At 50.7% G+C, this 17443-nt stretch overlaps 1 protein-coding gene across 2 annotated transcripts in view, besides 2 other annotated features; it reads left to right on the top strand.

Moving 5' to 3' along the window:
* XKR6 (XK related 6) overlaps positions 1-17443 on the top strand; it is a 305789-nt gene that overhangs the window by 226439 nt on the left and 61907 nt on the right. The gene's annotated exons all lie outside the window — the stretch shown is intronic.
* Positions 3724-4119: a silencer, noted in NCBI's record as "fragment chr8:10828786-10829181 (GRCh37/hg19 assembly coordinates)". NCBI's record gives its function as "represses an EF-1alpha promoter that drives an FKBP-Casp9 reporter gene in an ReSE screen in K562 erythroleukemia cells {active_cell/tissue: K562}" and the evidence as "EXISTENCE:reporter gene assay evidence [ECO:0000049][PMID:32094911]".
* Positions 13643-14142: an enhancer, noted in NCBI's record as "H3K4me1 hESC enhancer chr8:10818763-10819262 (GRCh37/hg19 assembly coordinates)". NCBI's record gives its function as "activates a minimal SCP1, AML or CMV promoter by ChIP-STARR-seq in primed H9 embryonic stem cells {active_cell/tissue: H9 hESC(primed)}" and the evidence as "EXISTENCE:reporter gene assay evidence [ECO:0000049][PMID:30033119]".

Genomic DNA, 17443 nt, shown 5'->3' with positions numbered 1-17443 from the left:
CCTTTAGGCGCGCTGGGGAGGACACTGGACTTGTTTTGATTGGTGGGCAGCAGCTGGCCTCAATGCACTGTGTTCTTTGCTTGGAGAAGTCGCTCGAAGCCTCCTGAAGGCTGGGTGATGGGGGAGCAGCCTGGGATGGTGCCACCCACACTCCCCCTGCCGGGGCAGCCAAGGGATCGTTGGCTGCAGGAGGGTGCTAGTTCCTCTCAGGTTCCCCATTGCTATCAGCACAACTGCCAGAGCTTTGTCTGGGTCCTGCAAGTACTGGGAGCATCAGGGCAGCAAGGACTGTGTTCCGGAGAGAGAAACCGAGGCCTCTAGGAGAGATAGGCAGCTCCCGAAGGTCACCTGCCAGCAAGGGGCAGAGGTGGGATTTGAAACCAGATGTTCTTTTTAAAAAAAAGCTTGGTAAAATATACATCACATGAGATTTATCATTTTAACCATTTGTAAGTGTACAATTCAATGGCATTAAGCACATCCATGTTGTCATGCAAGCATCATCATCATCCGTCTACAGAACCTTTTCACCTTCCCCGGCTGAAATCTGCACCTGCTGAACACCAACTGCCATCCCCCAGGAGCCCAGGAGTTCCCACCTCGAGCTCTGTGCGCTTCCTTCACTACTTGCCACATTGGCATCTTTTTCTATGGAAGCACCTCCTGGAGAAGAAGGAGAACCTCACTGGGGTAACTTTTCTTGGCAGGAGGGAGAGGGTGAGAATGAAGACAAATATGAGAGAGTTTTCCAGGTGGCCTGAGTGTTTGTTAACCCAGCCTCTCACTGTCACCTCTTCCTCACCAAGCTGGGAGTGGGGATGAAATAAAAAATTACTTTTCCTGCAAAAAGATATGGCTCAGTATGTGGCTGAGCTGCCTGGGAACTAGAGTCTGGCAGGGTCCGTGGCCCAGGCTTAGGATTGGTCAGGGAGATGGTAGCCTTTCTGGGGAGCATCTGCCTCCCTCTGAGCGGGTGGTTTCAACTCTGTTGCCCTCACCTGGTTTGGAAGGAAACTCAGGAGAGAATTAGCTGGCAATGGTCTCACTGTGACTGTGGCCAAGGTGCTCTTCACCTGTCTTCCCACCAGGCACAGGCCCTCTCAGGTGCAGCATATTTTACTCTAATTCCCGGCTTATTCACTAAAGCCAGAAATGCCCAGTGCTCTGTTCGCTTACAGCTAACATGTGGGAGCCCACCAGCATCTCCTGAGCCCAGCAAGCTGCCAAGTACCTCCTGGGGTACTTACTCTTCCTCCCCCACCATCTCCTCACAGAGCCAACTGAGAGAGAATGACAAGAGATCACTGGACCAATGGAAAAATACATATTTGAACTAGCTTTATCATTCATTTCCTGTGTGATCTTAAGCAAATGGCTTAGCCTCTCTGGACTTTAATTTCCCACTTAAAAAAAAACTGGAATGATAATAACATCCAGAAAAATGAAGTCATTTAGAAAGTATCTATGCACTGTGCTAACAAGAAGCAGACACTCAAGAAATAGCAATAGTGGACAGGTGTGGTGGCTCACGCCTGTAATTCCAACACTTTGAGAGGGTGAAGTGGGTGGATTGCTTGAGCTCATGAGTTCACGACCAGCCTGGGCAACATGGTGAAACCCCGTTTCTACAACAAAAAACACAAAAAATTAGCTGGGCCTGGTGGCATGCGCCTGTAGTCCCAGCTACTTGGGAGACTGAGGTGGAGGATCCTTTGAGCCCCGGAGGTGGAGGTTGTGCAGTGAGCTGAGACGGTTCCACTGCACTCCGGCCTGGGCAACAGGGACTTTTAAAAAAAAGAAAAAGAAAGAGAGAAAGAGAGAAAGAGAGAAAGAAAGAAAGATCAGTAGCCTTACGCTTTCCCTGAGCATCAGTTTTCTTATGTATAAAACGGGGATAAAATAGGTTTCAGAGGGTGGTTGGGAAGATTGAATGAAAGAATGTATGGGAAAGACTGGCTGGTGCACACGGAGCTCTCAGATAATATCACTCTCTCCTTACTTCTCAGGTTGGGGTCCAGGGGCCAGGGAACCCATGGAACCCATTTAGGGGAACCCCTTGCAGGTTTTCAGGGCAGTGGGCATTTTGATGACTGACCTTGGAGGAATGGCCAGTGTGGCATTTTCTCTCTGTCCAACTAAGACACTGGGACATATATGACCCATTAGTGATGGGTTATTTTAAATTCTCAGCTCATAACATGGGCCAAGCTCACTCTTTCAAAATAGATGTTTCATCAATTCCTCTTAATTAAAACTCTAGTCCTATAATGCGTGTTCTCAGGGAACATTCTGAATCATCTTCAATAATAACTCCACTCTTGAAGAGGCTAATCGTAAGCCTCGTCTATCAAGAAACCAGAAACAGCAAAGTCCTACTGAATGGGCAAACTAAATGTCCCAAACACCATGAACAGTTCATGAATGGTCCTCCCAGAGGCAGGCCAGGCTTTCCCTTACAACCTGTGCACAGGACTCTTGGTATAGCTCTTTAAAAAAATGTTTTCATTATCGTAAAATATACACAGTATAAAATTGACCATTTTAACCGATTTTAAGTGTGCGGTTCTGTGGCATTAAGTACATCTACACTGTTGTGTAATCATCACCACCATCCATCTCCAGATGTCTTATTATCTTGCAAAATTGAAATTCTGTACCCACTAAACAATGACTCCCCAGTCCCCACTTTTCCCCAGCCCCTGGCAAGCCTGTTCTACTTTGTCTGTGAATGTGACTCCTCTGAATAGCTCACATAAGTGGGATCATACAGTATTCGTCCTTTTGTGACTGGCTTATTTCACTCAGCATGATGCCCTCAAGGTCTACCCATGTTGTAGCTCATGTCAGAAATCCCTCCTTTTAATGTGCAATACGATTCCATGATAAGGATTTTGCTCAGCCATCCATTCTTCAGTCGGGAGTGCCCATTAGCAAGCTTGTTCGTTCCTGGCTTGCTGACTCATCCCAAGACCATACACTGATAAGCAGCAGCCTTTGGAGTTTACAGAATGCTTGCACATATCTGTCCTTTCCATTTTGAATCAGCTCAGCAGGAAAGAATTGGTAATTGCCGATGGTCAGTAATTGGCAAAGCAGACACTGAAACACTGGTCTGACATCAAACCCCGAATTTCATGTTGTTTTTTTCCTAGAGAGCTCTGTTCTGTTTAGGCTGGGCTGATAATCAAAATAGAACCTAGAGTCAAATAAAAAACGAGGTCACCCCGAGGCCCCAGCTGGGCCCGGATGAACCCCCAAGCAGTCGGGGTCGGAAGGCACTCAGGGTGTTCCAGCCAGAGGCGATTGGCACTCGCAACAGAAATATTTAACAACAGGTCCGAGATACTGATGCATTCAACTGAATGTCACTTCTGGGGCTAGGGTCCAGTGGGATTGATCGGAGGTGGAGGGAAAGAGCTGTGGCAAGGAGATGAGACTAAAAAATCCATTTTTGGAAATCAACAATAAATTTGACCCCAAGAAAAATTTCCTTTATTGTATATGACACCTACTGCAACAAGCAACACACATTATCTGAATGGGTGAGTTCCTCATTCCCACAGTGGGCTCCATGGTGGCCCAAGATCTGAGCAAGAGGACGAGGTGGTGGGTGGCCAGCGTCCCCTGCCTCCTTTGTGTGCAGAGCCCACATCCGTCCTCTCTTTGGGACTTTAGTGTCCCCATTGGCAAGAGGGGATATTTCCATGGTCCTGAGAAAATGGTACAAAAAGTGAAGGTAGTTAGGACCGCTGGGCAGGGCCAAACCACTGATTGGCCTCAGGTAAGTTGCTCAACTTCTCTGGGCCTAAGTTTCTTCCCCTAGAGGAAGGGTTGGTCTCCTTTAGTTTTCATGTTCTGTGATCCCTCTGGAATATTGATCCCTACTCAACTCCAAAGTGTATGGAGGCTGCTCGTAATTTTATTTTTTTATTTCAAATTAAATTAAATTAAATTAAATTAATTAATTACTTTTCGAGATGGAGTCTCGCTCTGTCACCCAGGCTGGAGTGCAGTGGTGCGATCTTGGCTCACTGCAAGCTCCGCCTCCTGGGTTCACGCCATTCTCCTGCCTCAGCCTCCCGAGTAGCCGGGACTACAGGTGCCCGCCACCACACCTGGCTAATTTTTTGTATTTTTAGTAGAGGTGGAGTTTCGCCGTGTTAGCCAGGATGATCTTGATCTCCTGACCTCGTGATCCGCCCACCTCGGCCTCCCAAAGTGCTGGGATTACAGGCGTGAGCCACCGTGCCCGGCGCTGCTTGTAATTTTAAAACACACAAGAACAGGAAACTGAAAAGAATACAGAATTTTTAAAAACCCCAAGCAGAAGAGGTCAAAGAATAGACACGCCAGGTTCCTAAGTTGAATGTGACTGCAGTTGAACACTCAGTTTATTTCTGAGCTTCCTGGCAGCTGAGACAAAAAGGGAAACATGTTATATTTTCTGATAAAAGGGTGCTTCAGATTCTCCTTAGGAGAGAGACCTCTTCCTGGCACTGGAATCTATTACAGTCTTCATATCAAAGGCAGAAAAAACAATGTCTGGCTGAAATTTTGTTAATGATACAGAGGTTTTTTTTTTTTTTTTTAAGGATCCTTTTCATTTTGCTCCTTTATAAAATCTAAGGGCAAAAATATTACATTTTATCCCAGTAAAGGTAGTTCTCTAGTTAAAATAATTTAGTCTATGTATGTTACAGACAAAACTGAGGCCCAATAAATGCTTAATGAATTAACAATCCACCCTGATGAGGAAAAACACTGAGAATCACAGGAATGAACAGTTGAGACACTGTGTCTTGCAAAGGAAGACATCTCAATGTCTTCCTCATTGAGATCAGACATCTCAATGAGGCTGGGGCATTTCTGGGCTGTGACAGTTTCATGTGCAGATCCTCCAAGGAGTGCTTGTTGTGTTATTGAGACCTTGTGTCTTGGTGCTTAGGACAGTGCCAGTCACATGGTGGAGAATAAATATTCACAGTATCATATGTTAGGTTCCAGACACAGAGAATTAAGATCAGAAAGGATCCAAGAAAATGTTTGGTCCAGTGCCCTCATTGGACAGGTGATGATGCAGAGGGCTGTCGCGACCTCAGTACCCATCCCCTAGGCCACCACTCTGCCAAGACCTGGTACCCTGTCCTCTTGGATGGCAGATATGTCTGTACAGTTGAAGAACTGGGTCTGTCTTCCCTCGCCTCCAGAGAACACATGCAAAGGTGTGGTGATGCACTGAGTTATGGGGTCCCGGAGCACAGAGAGCAGCCAGAGGCATCTGACCAGAGCCCAACAGCCCACTCCTGCGAGAGGTGACAGCCCAGTGAAATCGTTCACAAGTGCCACCCATCTGTGGCGAGCATTTGGGGCTCCGACTTATCACCTGAGCAGGGTGAACTTGGCAGGGTCTGTGGGCCTCTGGGGTCAGCATGGGGTTTCGGTAGAGACCCCACATGGGAGCTTAGAGGAGCATTTGCCTGTTCCTCACATGGGTGAGAGGCGGGACGGCAGCATATCCCATCTTCGGGCTGCACTGCAAATAAACCACCCCAGGCAGGTGAGCGTCAGGCTTGGCAGGAAGCTCTCTTGGGACATCAGCTTCTTCCATATACTGTGGCCTCCTGGCTAGGGGCAGGGCTGCAGCCTCCAGCTCAGCCCCAGTGGGTGGGGGGCTCCTGTTTCCATCTTTCACGTTCAGTCCTTGTTAAAGAACGTTACTCAGTGTTTGTCTCTAGGCTGTGCTCCAACAGTTCCTCTGGCCTTTCAGGATGACTGTCCCACCAGCCCGTGATTCTGTTTTAGGTCTTCCTTTGGGCTTACTCCGCATTCTCTTGATTTCCCCTTAAGCTGTGTGTTCTGGCCAGGGATGCCTGCATAGGACACGTACCTACATTTCCCATGTCCTGTTGGCTCACAGGGAGATCTTGTATCTACTAATATGTAGAATCAAATCCATCATCTTTAATTAAATCTATTCCTGGACAGTCCTTTTCCCGGAGTTCCTTTGGATACCACTGGGTGACATCCTCAACCAGATCTAACTTGATCTGAGACTATTGGAGCATAATTTCTAAAAGTCTGGACAGCCTCCAAAGCAACACGGTGGGTGGCAAGCTGGCAGTTTATGGGTGTGGTGGAGAGTTTCAGGAACCATGCATCTAAGTTGGAGTTTCTCAAAGTGGCAGCTAAGAGCACCTGCTTCAGGATCCCTGCAGTGCTTGTAAAAAATACCGGTTCTCAGGCTCAACCTCTGACCCAGGAAATAAGAATTTCTAGGGGCGGTTTTTGACAATCAGGATTTTTGTCACACAAGACTGTGATTCTGGCGCACTCAAGTTTAGGACCCTCTGCTCCAGTTTCCTAAGGAAATTTCTGACAATTTTAGTTCTTATTTTGCCCTTTCTTGAACTTTAACTTTTAGGTGGAAAATAGGCCTTCATTGAACATACTAAATTGGAAGTTAGGAATAAAAGGATAGCCACTCCTGTTACTGAGAGGGCAGACTGCTGGAGCGGCTGTCAGCTGTTCAGAGCGGGCAGGTGGCTCCCCAGTCCCAGAGCCCCTGGACTGCCCGAGCCCTGTGCCCAGAAATCTTTCTCATTTTCCTCCTTCTATTTTCCTCTTTCTTCTCTGTTCTTCCTCAAAGTCCCGTATTTTCTTTTCCTTATACTCCACCAACTCTTTCTCTTTCTCCTCCTGGTGGTTTTATCCGATGGGGTCAGGTAGGAGAGAGGGAATGCTCCTGAGCTGACAACTGGGGAGAAGGTAATACAGTGGTGGGCAGAGTGTGGGCAAACACCGAGGACTGGTGTCATCCCCTGGAGCTAGGAACAAACACCCTAGGCCTGGAGGACAGGAGGAGGGAGGGTCACTGCAATCCAGAATGAGTTCTGCAGAGGAGCCCACGACACTGTCTCAACTCAACCGAAGGGGGCCATAGGCCAGCCCTGAGGGCACAAAGCTGGGGAGAGCACCTGGAGGGAAATGGAAGATTCCAGTCCCACAGGGAAGGGAAAGAGACACACATTCTACTGATTCATTTAACTTATTAAGATGCTAACTTCTCTGTTCTCTAATTTTTTAAATGGGTGAGCCGAGTCCAATCTGCAGAGGCACTTTTCTCTTTGGTAGAGAGAGAAGTGGGGGCAGCTGACGGAGGACGGAGGGGAACCTGGGAGGCCTAGGAGCGGTGGGAGATCCGGTTCAAACACCAGCACAGACCGGATGCAAGGCCAGGAATGGAGAGGCGACTCCCACCTGCCTGAGCTCCAGGATCCAGGGGGACAGACCCTGGGTACCAGGGGGAGCAGCAACAGGCCCCTCGCTCACAGGAAAGGCTGGGGGGTGCTGCAGGGCCTCTGCATGTCCACAGGTGGCCCCTGAGCCCGGAGGGCGCCGAGTGAGGGCTGAGGGGCCGAGGTATCCATCTGGGCTCTGATGGAATCTCCTAGGGCTCTGGGGTTCTGTCCAGTGCAGAGCCGAGGCAGCCTGGAAACTGTCCTCCTGCTCTCTAGCGCATCCTCAGGGTGAGCTCTCTGACTTCAGTGGGCTTGTCCCACCTGCACCCACCACCTAAGGCCTCACCCCACCCGCCAGGAGCAGGAGCCTCCTGGAAAACAAATGCAGAGACCAGCTCCAGCACGTCGCTGTAGGTCCTTTGCCCTGCTTTCTTGCTGCTGAATGCAGAGGCTGGCACCGGCAAGTTGCTGCAGACCCTCTGCCCTGTTTCCTTGCTGCTCCAGGACAACCCTCCCCACCTCTTGTTACCTTGCCCACTTCCTGTGATCAGAGCCTGGCCTCCAGCTCCAGGGCTGGGCACTCTGGTGTCAGTCCATTGCCCCAGACCAGGCACCCCACGCCCCCCGACCTCTGCCTCAGTGCTGCCTGCACTGTCCACCTGGTCTTGGCTCCTGTACAGCCTCTTCGGGCAGCCCCAGCCTTTCCAGCTCCCACCTCCTGGCATAGCCCCCAAGAAACATCAGACCCAGGGGCCAGGCAGTTAAGAAGGGCTAGAGAGAGGGCACTGAGGCTTTCTGGGAGGTGTGGGAGTTTCCCACAGCAGCTTATCACGCCCCTACAGTGAAGCAACTCAGGTGTCATCTCACTGGATCCCACAGTTGCCATAGGAGGGATGTGTTGTTGCCTAGTTTACATAGTGAACCGCTTTCACAAATGAGTAAACTGAGCCCCAGAGAAGATGAATGCTTTTCTCATAGATTGCACTGCCAGTGAGTATGGGCAGGAGGGGTCTCTATATCCGAGGATCACGCACTGTCATGCAGACCTATGACGCAGGGATCTTGTTGGAATGCGGGCTGACTCAGCAGATGCAGGGGTGCAGCCTCTGCGTTGCTAACCAGCTCCCGGAAGATGCTGGTATCTCTGCTTCCGAGACCACACTTTGAGTAGTGAGGCTCTAGACCCATGGTTCTCAAGCTTCGTAATTGCCTGGGGAGATTGAAAGATGACTGAGGCTAAGACCTAGCCCCAGAGATCAGAGTGCCACCTGTTTACTGGAAGGGCTCGTCAGGTGATTCTCACAGGTGGCCAAGGTTTAGACCACGGCTTCTCAGACGTCAGTGCGCCCCAGGATCCCCTGGAGGGTTTGTTAAAACCTGGTTTCCTGGGCCCCATCCCCAGAGACCCTATTCTAGAGGTCTGAGGGCAGGGTCTGAGAACTTGCATTTTTATTTTTATTTATGTATTTATTTATTTATTTTTGAGACAGAGTCTCACTCTGTGGTCCAGGCTGGAGTGTAGTGGTGCGATCTCAGCTCACTGCAAGCTCCGCCTCCTGGGTTCACGCCATTCTTCTGCCTCAGCCTCCCGTGTAGCTGGGACTACAGGTGCCCACCACCACGCCAGGCTAATTTTTTTGTATTTTTAGTAGAGACGGGGTTTCACCATGTTGGCTAGGATGGTCTCGATCTCCTGACCTCGTGATCCGCCCGCCTGCCTTGGCCTCCCAAAGTGCTGGGATTACAGGCGTGAGCCACCATGCCCGGCCTAACTTGCGTTTTTAATACATTTCTCGGTGATGCTAATGGTGATGGTACAGGCACTGTGTTCTGAGTGGGAAGGCTGTATACACCAGTGGCTCCCAAGGGTGGTCCATGGACCAGCGGCATCAGCATCACTTGGGAACTTGTTAGAAATGGAAATTCCTGGGCCCTACCCTCGACATACTGAATGAGAAACTCTGTGTTTCTTAGTCAGTGTTTCAGCAATCCTCCCACTCAAGTAGTCCGGATGTACCCGAGGTTTGAGAACCGCTGCTGTGCACCTGGCACGGTTGCTGTGTTTTAGCAATCCTCCTCCCCACCCAAGTTATCTGGATGTACCCGAGGTTTGAGAACCGCTGCTCTAGGCCTGGCATGGTTGCACCTCAGAAGGATCCCAGCTCAGTCTTCTCAGCCCAGGCTGGAAGGTGAATTTGATGCCCTTGAGGAATCCTAGAGTTTGGGAGGTTGAAGGCCGTTTTTTGGTTCCCAGGGGACCAGGTGGCCCACACCTGCTGGGTGTGAGACAGGAATGATGTGGACTCGGCCCGGGCCAGATGAATCATGAGCTCCTCTCCGTTGTGTGAACGGTCGGAAGCAAGAACATCTGTTCAATCGTTCTCACTTTCGTATTTTGTGCGGAGTAAGAGTTAAACTGCCAAATCCCGTCAGACAGCCGTCTGTTGCCCCGGTAACACCCTGCAGCTGCCGGAAAGAGAGAGATGGCGCTTCCGGGCACCAAGCCTTCATTCTCCCAAGTCTCAAGCGAGCTGTTTGGTGCCTTGGTTTTCTGTCTGGAAAGAGGGGAATCGGGAGCCCGTCCCACAGGCCCCCTGCGTGCCTTAGCAGCTCATGTACGATGAGTATGTACCGAGAATGTTCTTGTGTTCCTCCTCCCTGCATTTATGCAGCAAAATGTTCTCTGCGCACGAGGTGCCATGCTAGGTGCAGCAGTCAGCAGCAAACCAGGCAGACAGCTGCCTCTAGGCTGTGTCTTGAGTGGGAAAGTCTGTGGGGCCCCCAGATCCCTGGGGGACCGTGGTGCTCGGAGGAGCCTTCCACCGTTGCTCCCGCATCTCTGTAGTGAGAGGATCGAGGGCACGTGCCCTGCTTGCATCCATGCCCGTAGGGCTGATGTGCTTGCCAGAGCTCAGATGAGCCGAACTGGGAAGGAAATGGGCTTTCTCAGAACTGGCAAGGAAGGACTTAAGAAGGACGTGTGTCCACAGGACCCAGGGGACCCGCCATCCATGAGGCCAGAGCTTGCTGGTGTTCAGGTTCTGGGGCCTTGGCAATATGGTTTCCTAAGCTGAGAGCCCAACAAGCAGGCTTGTGGTCCAGTCCAGTTGGTGGCCCTTGGCCTGTCCCTTTAAGAGAGAGGAAAGGGAAGGCGATGTAAAGAGGAGGGTTGGATCCCTAGTGGAGGAAGCCTGTAAACACACCTGCACGGGGATGTGGATTCTGGGTTTAACAGCGCCCTGGAGCGCTGGCCGGGGAAACTAAGTCCGAATGCAGTTCTCACAGACGTGGGCTATGTCAGGGGAAAGGGCTTTAGAGGATGCTGCAGGTTTAAGCCCAGGACTCATTCCGTGTGCAGTGAGAGCAGGTCTGGCAGCGCGAGTGGGCCCAGCTGCAGCTGCTGGGGAAATCAAGGGATGAGGGGCCCCTGCCCTGACCAGGTGACTCCAGGGTGGGCAGGCAAGATCCCGCGGGTGAGGTCATGTAACTCTGCCAGGAACGGCGGGGACAGGCAGGTGCTGATTGTTGGGAGGACCTCAGGGGGCAGCTTCATTTTTATTTTCAAGACCAGGATGTTGTCCAAATGCCCCATTAAGGTTGAGATGCCATTTTCGCTGACTGAAGTGACCCCAATATGCTCTGGGTGAATTGGGCTCCCCTTGGAGAATGATGTGTGTCATGGTTGTTTCAAGTGCTGAATGTGGGAAATCTGGGTTCCTGCCACTGAGGAACGTCACTTGTGAGTGGTTCGGAGCCTCCAGGTCTAAGCTCCAGCCCAAAGAAGGCTCCATGTCATCAGGACAGCCCCGAGGGGTTCAACCTGCTCCATTTTGCAAAACTGAGCAAACAGGTGTCCTAGAAGGTGTCCTAGAAGCCCCAGGGAAGCGTGGGGGTATTGGGTTTTTAGAACCAACCATTCATTTCTCCCACAACCACAGTCCAATCAAGGTCTTCCCCCAGGATACAGGAGAAGCTCAGGCAGCCCCTGCCCTGGGGAGGTAGGTCAGGGGAGTAAATGCAAGACAGGACCCCAGGAGAAGATTCTCAGAGCTGAACAGCCCATTTGAGGCACAAGATCTTGAGTGGTAGGTACTCTGTGTTGGTGGCCCAGGGCTGAGAGGCTGATGTGCAGTCCCTGCCACCACCCTCTGCGGTAGGGATTATGTTGCCCATTTTATAGACTTAGAAATGAAGGCTCAGGGCAGTGAATTAACTTGCCTAGTGGCACTCAGCTGTGAGCTGGGATTTGAATCCAGGACTGACCCCAGTTCATGCAGTGTTCACATCATTCATTCGTTCAGCAACTACTTAGGAAGGGCCTTCTTGTCTGGGTACCTGGAATCTCAGCACTTTGGGAGGCTGAGGTGGGAGGATTGCTTGAATCCAGGGGTTCAAGACCAGCCTGAGAAGCATAGGAAGAGCCTGTCTCTACAAAACAATTAAAATTAGCCAGGCATGATGGCATTTACCTGTGGTCCCAGCTACAGGTTGGGAGGCTGAGGTGGGAGGATTGCTTGAGCCTGGGAGGTCGAGGATGCAGTGCTCCATGACCATACCGTGGCACTCCAGCCTGGGTGACAGAGTGAGACTCGATCTCAAAAAAAAAAAAAGGAAGGGTCTTCTTTGTGTCAGGCCCTGTTCGAGGCACTGTGGATTCACTCTGAGCAAAAATTCCTGCCCGGATTGTCTGGTCATCCCAGTGACAGCAGGAAGACTGGAGGCAGGTATCGAAGCAAAGCCGTGTCTAGGGATATCCATGGAAATGGCTATGGAAAAAAGTACAGCAGATAAGGGGAGGTGGAACATTTGGAGCAGGGCTGCTCTTTTAAACAGGGTGGTCGAGAAAGGCCTCGCTGACACACTGACGTTTGAACAGAGGGGATTGCCAGTGCCAAGGCCCTGAGGCAGAGCCAGTCAGAGCCGACAGCTGCCGGTGTGGCTGCAGCCACATGAGCAGGAGTTTGTGGTGGAGAAGGCCAGCGGGGAAGTGGGGCCTGTGTCAAGACTGTGGCTTGGACTCTGAACTGGCTGCCCCTGGAAGCGCCGAGAGAGGAGAAGCGGGATGTGCTTGGTCTGGCGCTGTTGGGCGTTCAGTCTGCTGACTGCAGGGGTGCCGGGCAGGAGCCAGGGAACCAGAAATGATCGAAGGACAGGCTCAAAAGATAGTCACTATTTAGAGATTCAAAAAGGGGCCACAACTGGGATCCTATCCAGCTTCAAAAACAGATGAACCAGTCCAGGTGCGATGGCTCATGCCTGTAATCTCAGCACTTTGGGAGGCCGAGGCGGGTGGATTACCTGAGGTCAGGAGTTCGAGACCAGCCTGACCAATATGGTGAGACCCCATCTCTACTAAAAATAAAATTAGCCAGGTGTGGTGGCGGGGGCCTGTAATCCCAGCTACTTGGGAGGCTGAGGCAGGAGAATTGCTTGAACCCGGGAGACAGAGGTTGCAATGAGCTGAGATCACGCCATTGCACTCCAGGCTGGACAACAGAGTGAGACTCTGTCTCAAAAACAAAAAAAAACAAAACAAAAACCAGATGAACCAGAATATGAAACTAAACATGGAACAGAGAAGATAAGCAACATTGAACCAAGTTCCAAAAGTTGGAACTTCCTTACAAGTTCCAAAAGATGTAAGACATCGTAAATAAACAAAAATACATTTGAGCCTTCTGGCGGAAATCCTCCCTAGGCTGCAGCCCCGGGAAGAAGGAAGTCAAGTCCTACCTCTCAGAGCACCAGGGGACCTCCCTCTTGGGGTTCACTGCAGCCTGACTCCCAGCCCAGCATGGCAAATGGGGACTACGAGTCAGGGGCTTCAGAAATGTGGCACGATGGTGTCCCCCAAAGCTGGTTAGGGAACAGAGTTGTACTATGTGACTTGATAGCACCTCTATTGTATGATAATATTATGTTTTGGGGTTTTAGGGGAAGCATTTAAACCTACTTATGGTTTGCATTTTCTTACTTCTTTAAAAAGATTGAAAATAAGTCCCCTGTGTGCTTCTAGGAGGGGCCATTTCCTCCCACTCTGTCGCCCCCGCGGAAAGTCATGATTAGGCCAAGACACTTTTCATTGTACTTCAAAGAATAATGCACAGTAAGATCAGCATTTTAAGTGGAGAAGGTGCTTTCATGCCCTTCCCCCAAATAAAAGGGATAGCTTTTACTCTCAGAAAGGTGGTGTATAATAGCTATGCGTTTGTGTTGGATGAATACTAAATGCCCCACGTTATTGTCAATGAAACAATGATTCTTGGGCCTCTCAGGTGGTGGAAGGACCAGCCACTCTCACCGGGCTCCCTTCCTCCTGGCAACGTTCCCCTCGGAAGGCAGGTTCACTCCTGCCTGGCATAAGAACTGGACAACTGTGGGCAAATGAAGCGATGGAGGCTGCATGTTAAAAAGCTAAAAGGAGCAAACCAGAGTTCAGAATCTCATTTTTCCAGCTCCCTGGGCTGCAGTTGCCTGCCTCTCAGACCGTGCACAGTGTTGCCAGGAAGCTGGAGGTGTGCTGGGTCTGTGTTTGCCACCCATGTGGGTGGGACCACATGAAGGAGGTTCTGCCCAAAAAGATAGTCCTGAATTTCTCTTTGGGTTTCTTCATGTACTCATCAAGTGTGGACTGTGTGTTCACTCTGAGCCAAGGCTGGGCCTGGGTTCTGGCTTTCAGTGATTCCACCCCGACTCCTATTTCCCCAGCCGCCCCTAGCCAGCCTCTGAGGATGCCAGGCCCAAGCTCTGCCCAAAAGGCATTCTGCAGCGTTGTCAGTGTCTCTGGACTCACAGCTCCCACTGTCACTCAAGCCGCCACCTCCTCTTGCCTGGAATGATGCCAGTCAGCAACTGGCTGCCACATGGCCTCCAGCGTCCCGGCTGGTGGGCACACTAGAGCCGGAGGGATCTTCTTAATTGGTAAATTGGATCTTGCAGCTTCACTGTTTAAATCTTTTCAGTGGCTTCCCTTTGTACTTAGAAAAAAATGCAACTTCTTCTGCTGGGATTCATCCGCTCACAGCCTTCCCCTCCACCCTCTCTCTGCCTCATGCTCTGTCCCTGCCTGCCATGCCTCCGATACTCACCTTTTGTACCCCAGCACCCGTGCCCTCTGCCCCTCGATCTTTGCCTGGCTGGTTCCTCCTCACTCAGTGTTCAGGACAAATGCTCCTGGCCCTACCCCATCTAGCCAGTCTAGCCCGGTCTTCCCTGTCTTCCCTGTTTCATTCATGGCTCTTATTGTTTGTTTACTTGTGTGCTGTTGACTTTTAACTCTCTCAGTCCCCACTGGAATGCAAGCGATCTCCCAAGCTCCTAGAATTGTTCCTGCCTCTTCACAGGCCCTTACGCTGTGTGTGCTGCAGGAGTGAAAGGGTGATTAGATGAGGGAGTGAGAGGGAATGATACCTCCTGCCTTGGGAATGTGAGGCGCTGGCCTTGGTCTCAGACCTAAGGTTCTGATTCTCAGATTCTCCGTGACCCTGGACAAATCCTTTGTCCCAAAGCCTCAGTTTCCTTATCTGTAAATTGAGAATGATGCCCCTGTGGCTGGGCTGTGTTGAGGATCAAATAAGATAACTATGCAGAAGTGGCAGACAGCTGACCTAGAGTGGAAATTCGATGAGTTTTCATTTCTTCCTTTCTTGTGGAGGCGTGTGAATATTCCCTGATCAAAGGAAAGGCTTCCGTCTCTCTTACTTTAATCATTTTCCTCCCCCGGCCTTCAGAGTAAGCATGCATCTTGACCAGGAGACTGGGGCAGTCATCTGCCAGGGTAACGCTATGACCGTGCCTGATATTTATGGGTTAACGGGCTTGAGAGTTCCCTTGACATCCTGAAGTAGACTGTACCTCTGCTGTTCCTGACCCACCTGCTATACCTGCACCCACCTGCTATACCTGCACCTACCTGCTATACCTGTACCCACCTGCTATACCTGCACCCACCTGCTGTACCTGCACCTGCCTGCTATACCTGCACTCACCTGCTGTGTCTGAACTAACTGCCTAGGAAAAGACCTTTTTATGTTTTCCTGATTGGAAGAGATCTTTAATGGGGCAGTTTGAAGACTGAGTCATGGACAGGGCCAGGATTAGGGTGAGACACACAAGGTGCCAGGTGCAAATTTTAAGGAGGCCCCCCCCTGACCTTCAGGCTTTTGTAATCCCAGGAGCAACCCCTGAGTGTGAGTGCTGCCTTAAATCCTGCACTCTGGGCATTTCATTGCCTCACCGTAGTTCCAGCCCTGGTCACAGAAACTCATGTTTGGAAGGAGAACCACTTCCCACCCATTCTCAGACTCCTCCCAGAGGGTTCCTGCCATTGGAACACCAGAGGAAAGGGCGCAAGGTGGTGTCTGTTCTCAGAGGATTGTTCCTCTGTCTTTTCCAATACTGGATGCTCTGGACAGAATGTTTGTGTCCTGTGAAATTCATATATTGAAGGGTAACCCACAGTGGGATGGTGTTAGGTGGGGCCTTTGGGAAATCAAGGGTTTACATGAGGTCATGAAGGTGGGGCCTCAGCAACGGATTAGTGTCCATATAAGAAGACGAGGAGACACCAGCAAGCTTGTTCCCTCTCTCCACCACGTGAGGACACAGCAAGAAGGTGGCTGTCTGCAAGTAGGAAGAGAGCCCTCACCAGGAACCAAATCCACTGGCACCTTCATCTCAGACTTCCCAGACTCCAGAATTGTGAGAAATAAATATCCAGTGTTTAAGCCACCCAGGGGTATTTTGTTATAGCAACCAGAGCTGATTAAGATACTGGCCAAAACCAGTCTCCCTATAACATCTACCCATTTCTCCTATGCCCAGAGGTGGTCTCTGTGACCACCTGTGGGTCACAGAGAACCAGTGTCCCTTTCTACATGGCAAGCCGAGGGGACTCAGTTCCTCTCCCACTCCTGTGGTCTCCAGGCCAGGCCTCACCATAGAGTGGGGAGGGAGGGACACTGGAGAGATCCGGTGACCAGGAGAAGTTGTTCAGTGAAAGCCGCGTGAACTGTCATTATCTGTGCATGAGCTCAGTCCAGGGACCCCCAAAGCGAGCCAACACCCAAAGTGACCCAGGAGAGGTGGTCGCAACTCAGAGTGTCAGCGTCACACTCTGGTTACAGAAGCCCTGCAGGGTTTCCCCCGGTCTGTGGGCAGATTAAGCCATGTTCTCAGGCTTGATGCCTTCCTGTTGAAATGCAGCTGTAGCTTTTGCACAAAAGGTGAGACCCGCTGTCACCATAAAGCATCCAGGCCTTGCTGCTGCTCCCTCAGAGCTGGATAATGACTGTGATGACAATAATAGTTCCTAAGGCTTCTGTTCTGTTTCCTCTCTGCAGAAGTTCTGGAAGCTAAGTTGTACTTTCTCATCCAGTGATGAGCCCATCGTTTCTCTGTAGGACAGAGAAGGAGGAGTGAGTTGCTCCATTTTACAGTTGAGAAACTGCAGGCAAAAATGGCCACTGCCTCCATCAGCGGGCGGCCCAGGCTGAGTCCAGGCTCCTGCCTGTGTCTTCCTCTGTAAAAGGGGAATATTGGCTCCCATGGTGATCACACCCATTTCTACCCTGTCTTTTCTGACTTCTTTCCCTCATGGGTGCTGGCATGCCATGTCTCGGGTGATGAAAGCCTCCCAAACCACTAGCCTTGCCAGTGATATCCAGCTCTCAGGATGACCCCTGCCCTGAGTAGCTGGATGTGGGCCCTCCTGGGAGAATGGCAGCACCAACTGGGCAGCCCATTGTCACTATTGATTTCACCAAATGAAGCACAGTGAAAACGAAGATGAACATTCTAATCCCATAATCGCATTAGTGCCGGCTCTAAAGACTCACATGCTCCCCAAGCCCCAGCACTCAGGCCTCTGTTTCCCAGGCTCTTCACAGATGGCACACAGAGAACGTTCCTTCTGCAGATGACTTGGCTTGGTTGCCATCCAAACGGGAACTTGCATCTCATGGAAGGGCTGGCAGAGTCCATTTGAAGACTATTTTGAGATTCAGGGATTAGGTAAACAGCAATGAGAACTGTTCAGATTTTCCAGTCTGACACAAGTGAGGGAAACTGAGGCCCAGAGAGGGCAAGTGACTTACTGAAGATCACACAACACTAAAGTAGGCCAAGCCACTTTCCAGATCACGTGGGTTTCTTTTTCCTTTCAGTTCAGTAGATTTAGAAAGTACCAAAGTTTAATTACAAATCTA

The sequence above is a fragment of the Homo sapiens genome, chromosome 8 (assembly GCF_000001405.40).
Source record: "Homo sapiens chromosome 8, GRCh38.p14 Primary Assembly".
NCBI classification, from domain to species: domain Eukaryota; kingdom Metazoa; phylum Chordata; class Mammalia; order Primates; family Hominidae; genus Homo; species Homo sapiens.
This window is presented reverse-complemented; position numbering and strand designations above follow the sequence as displayed.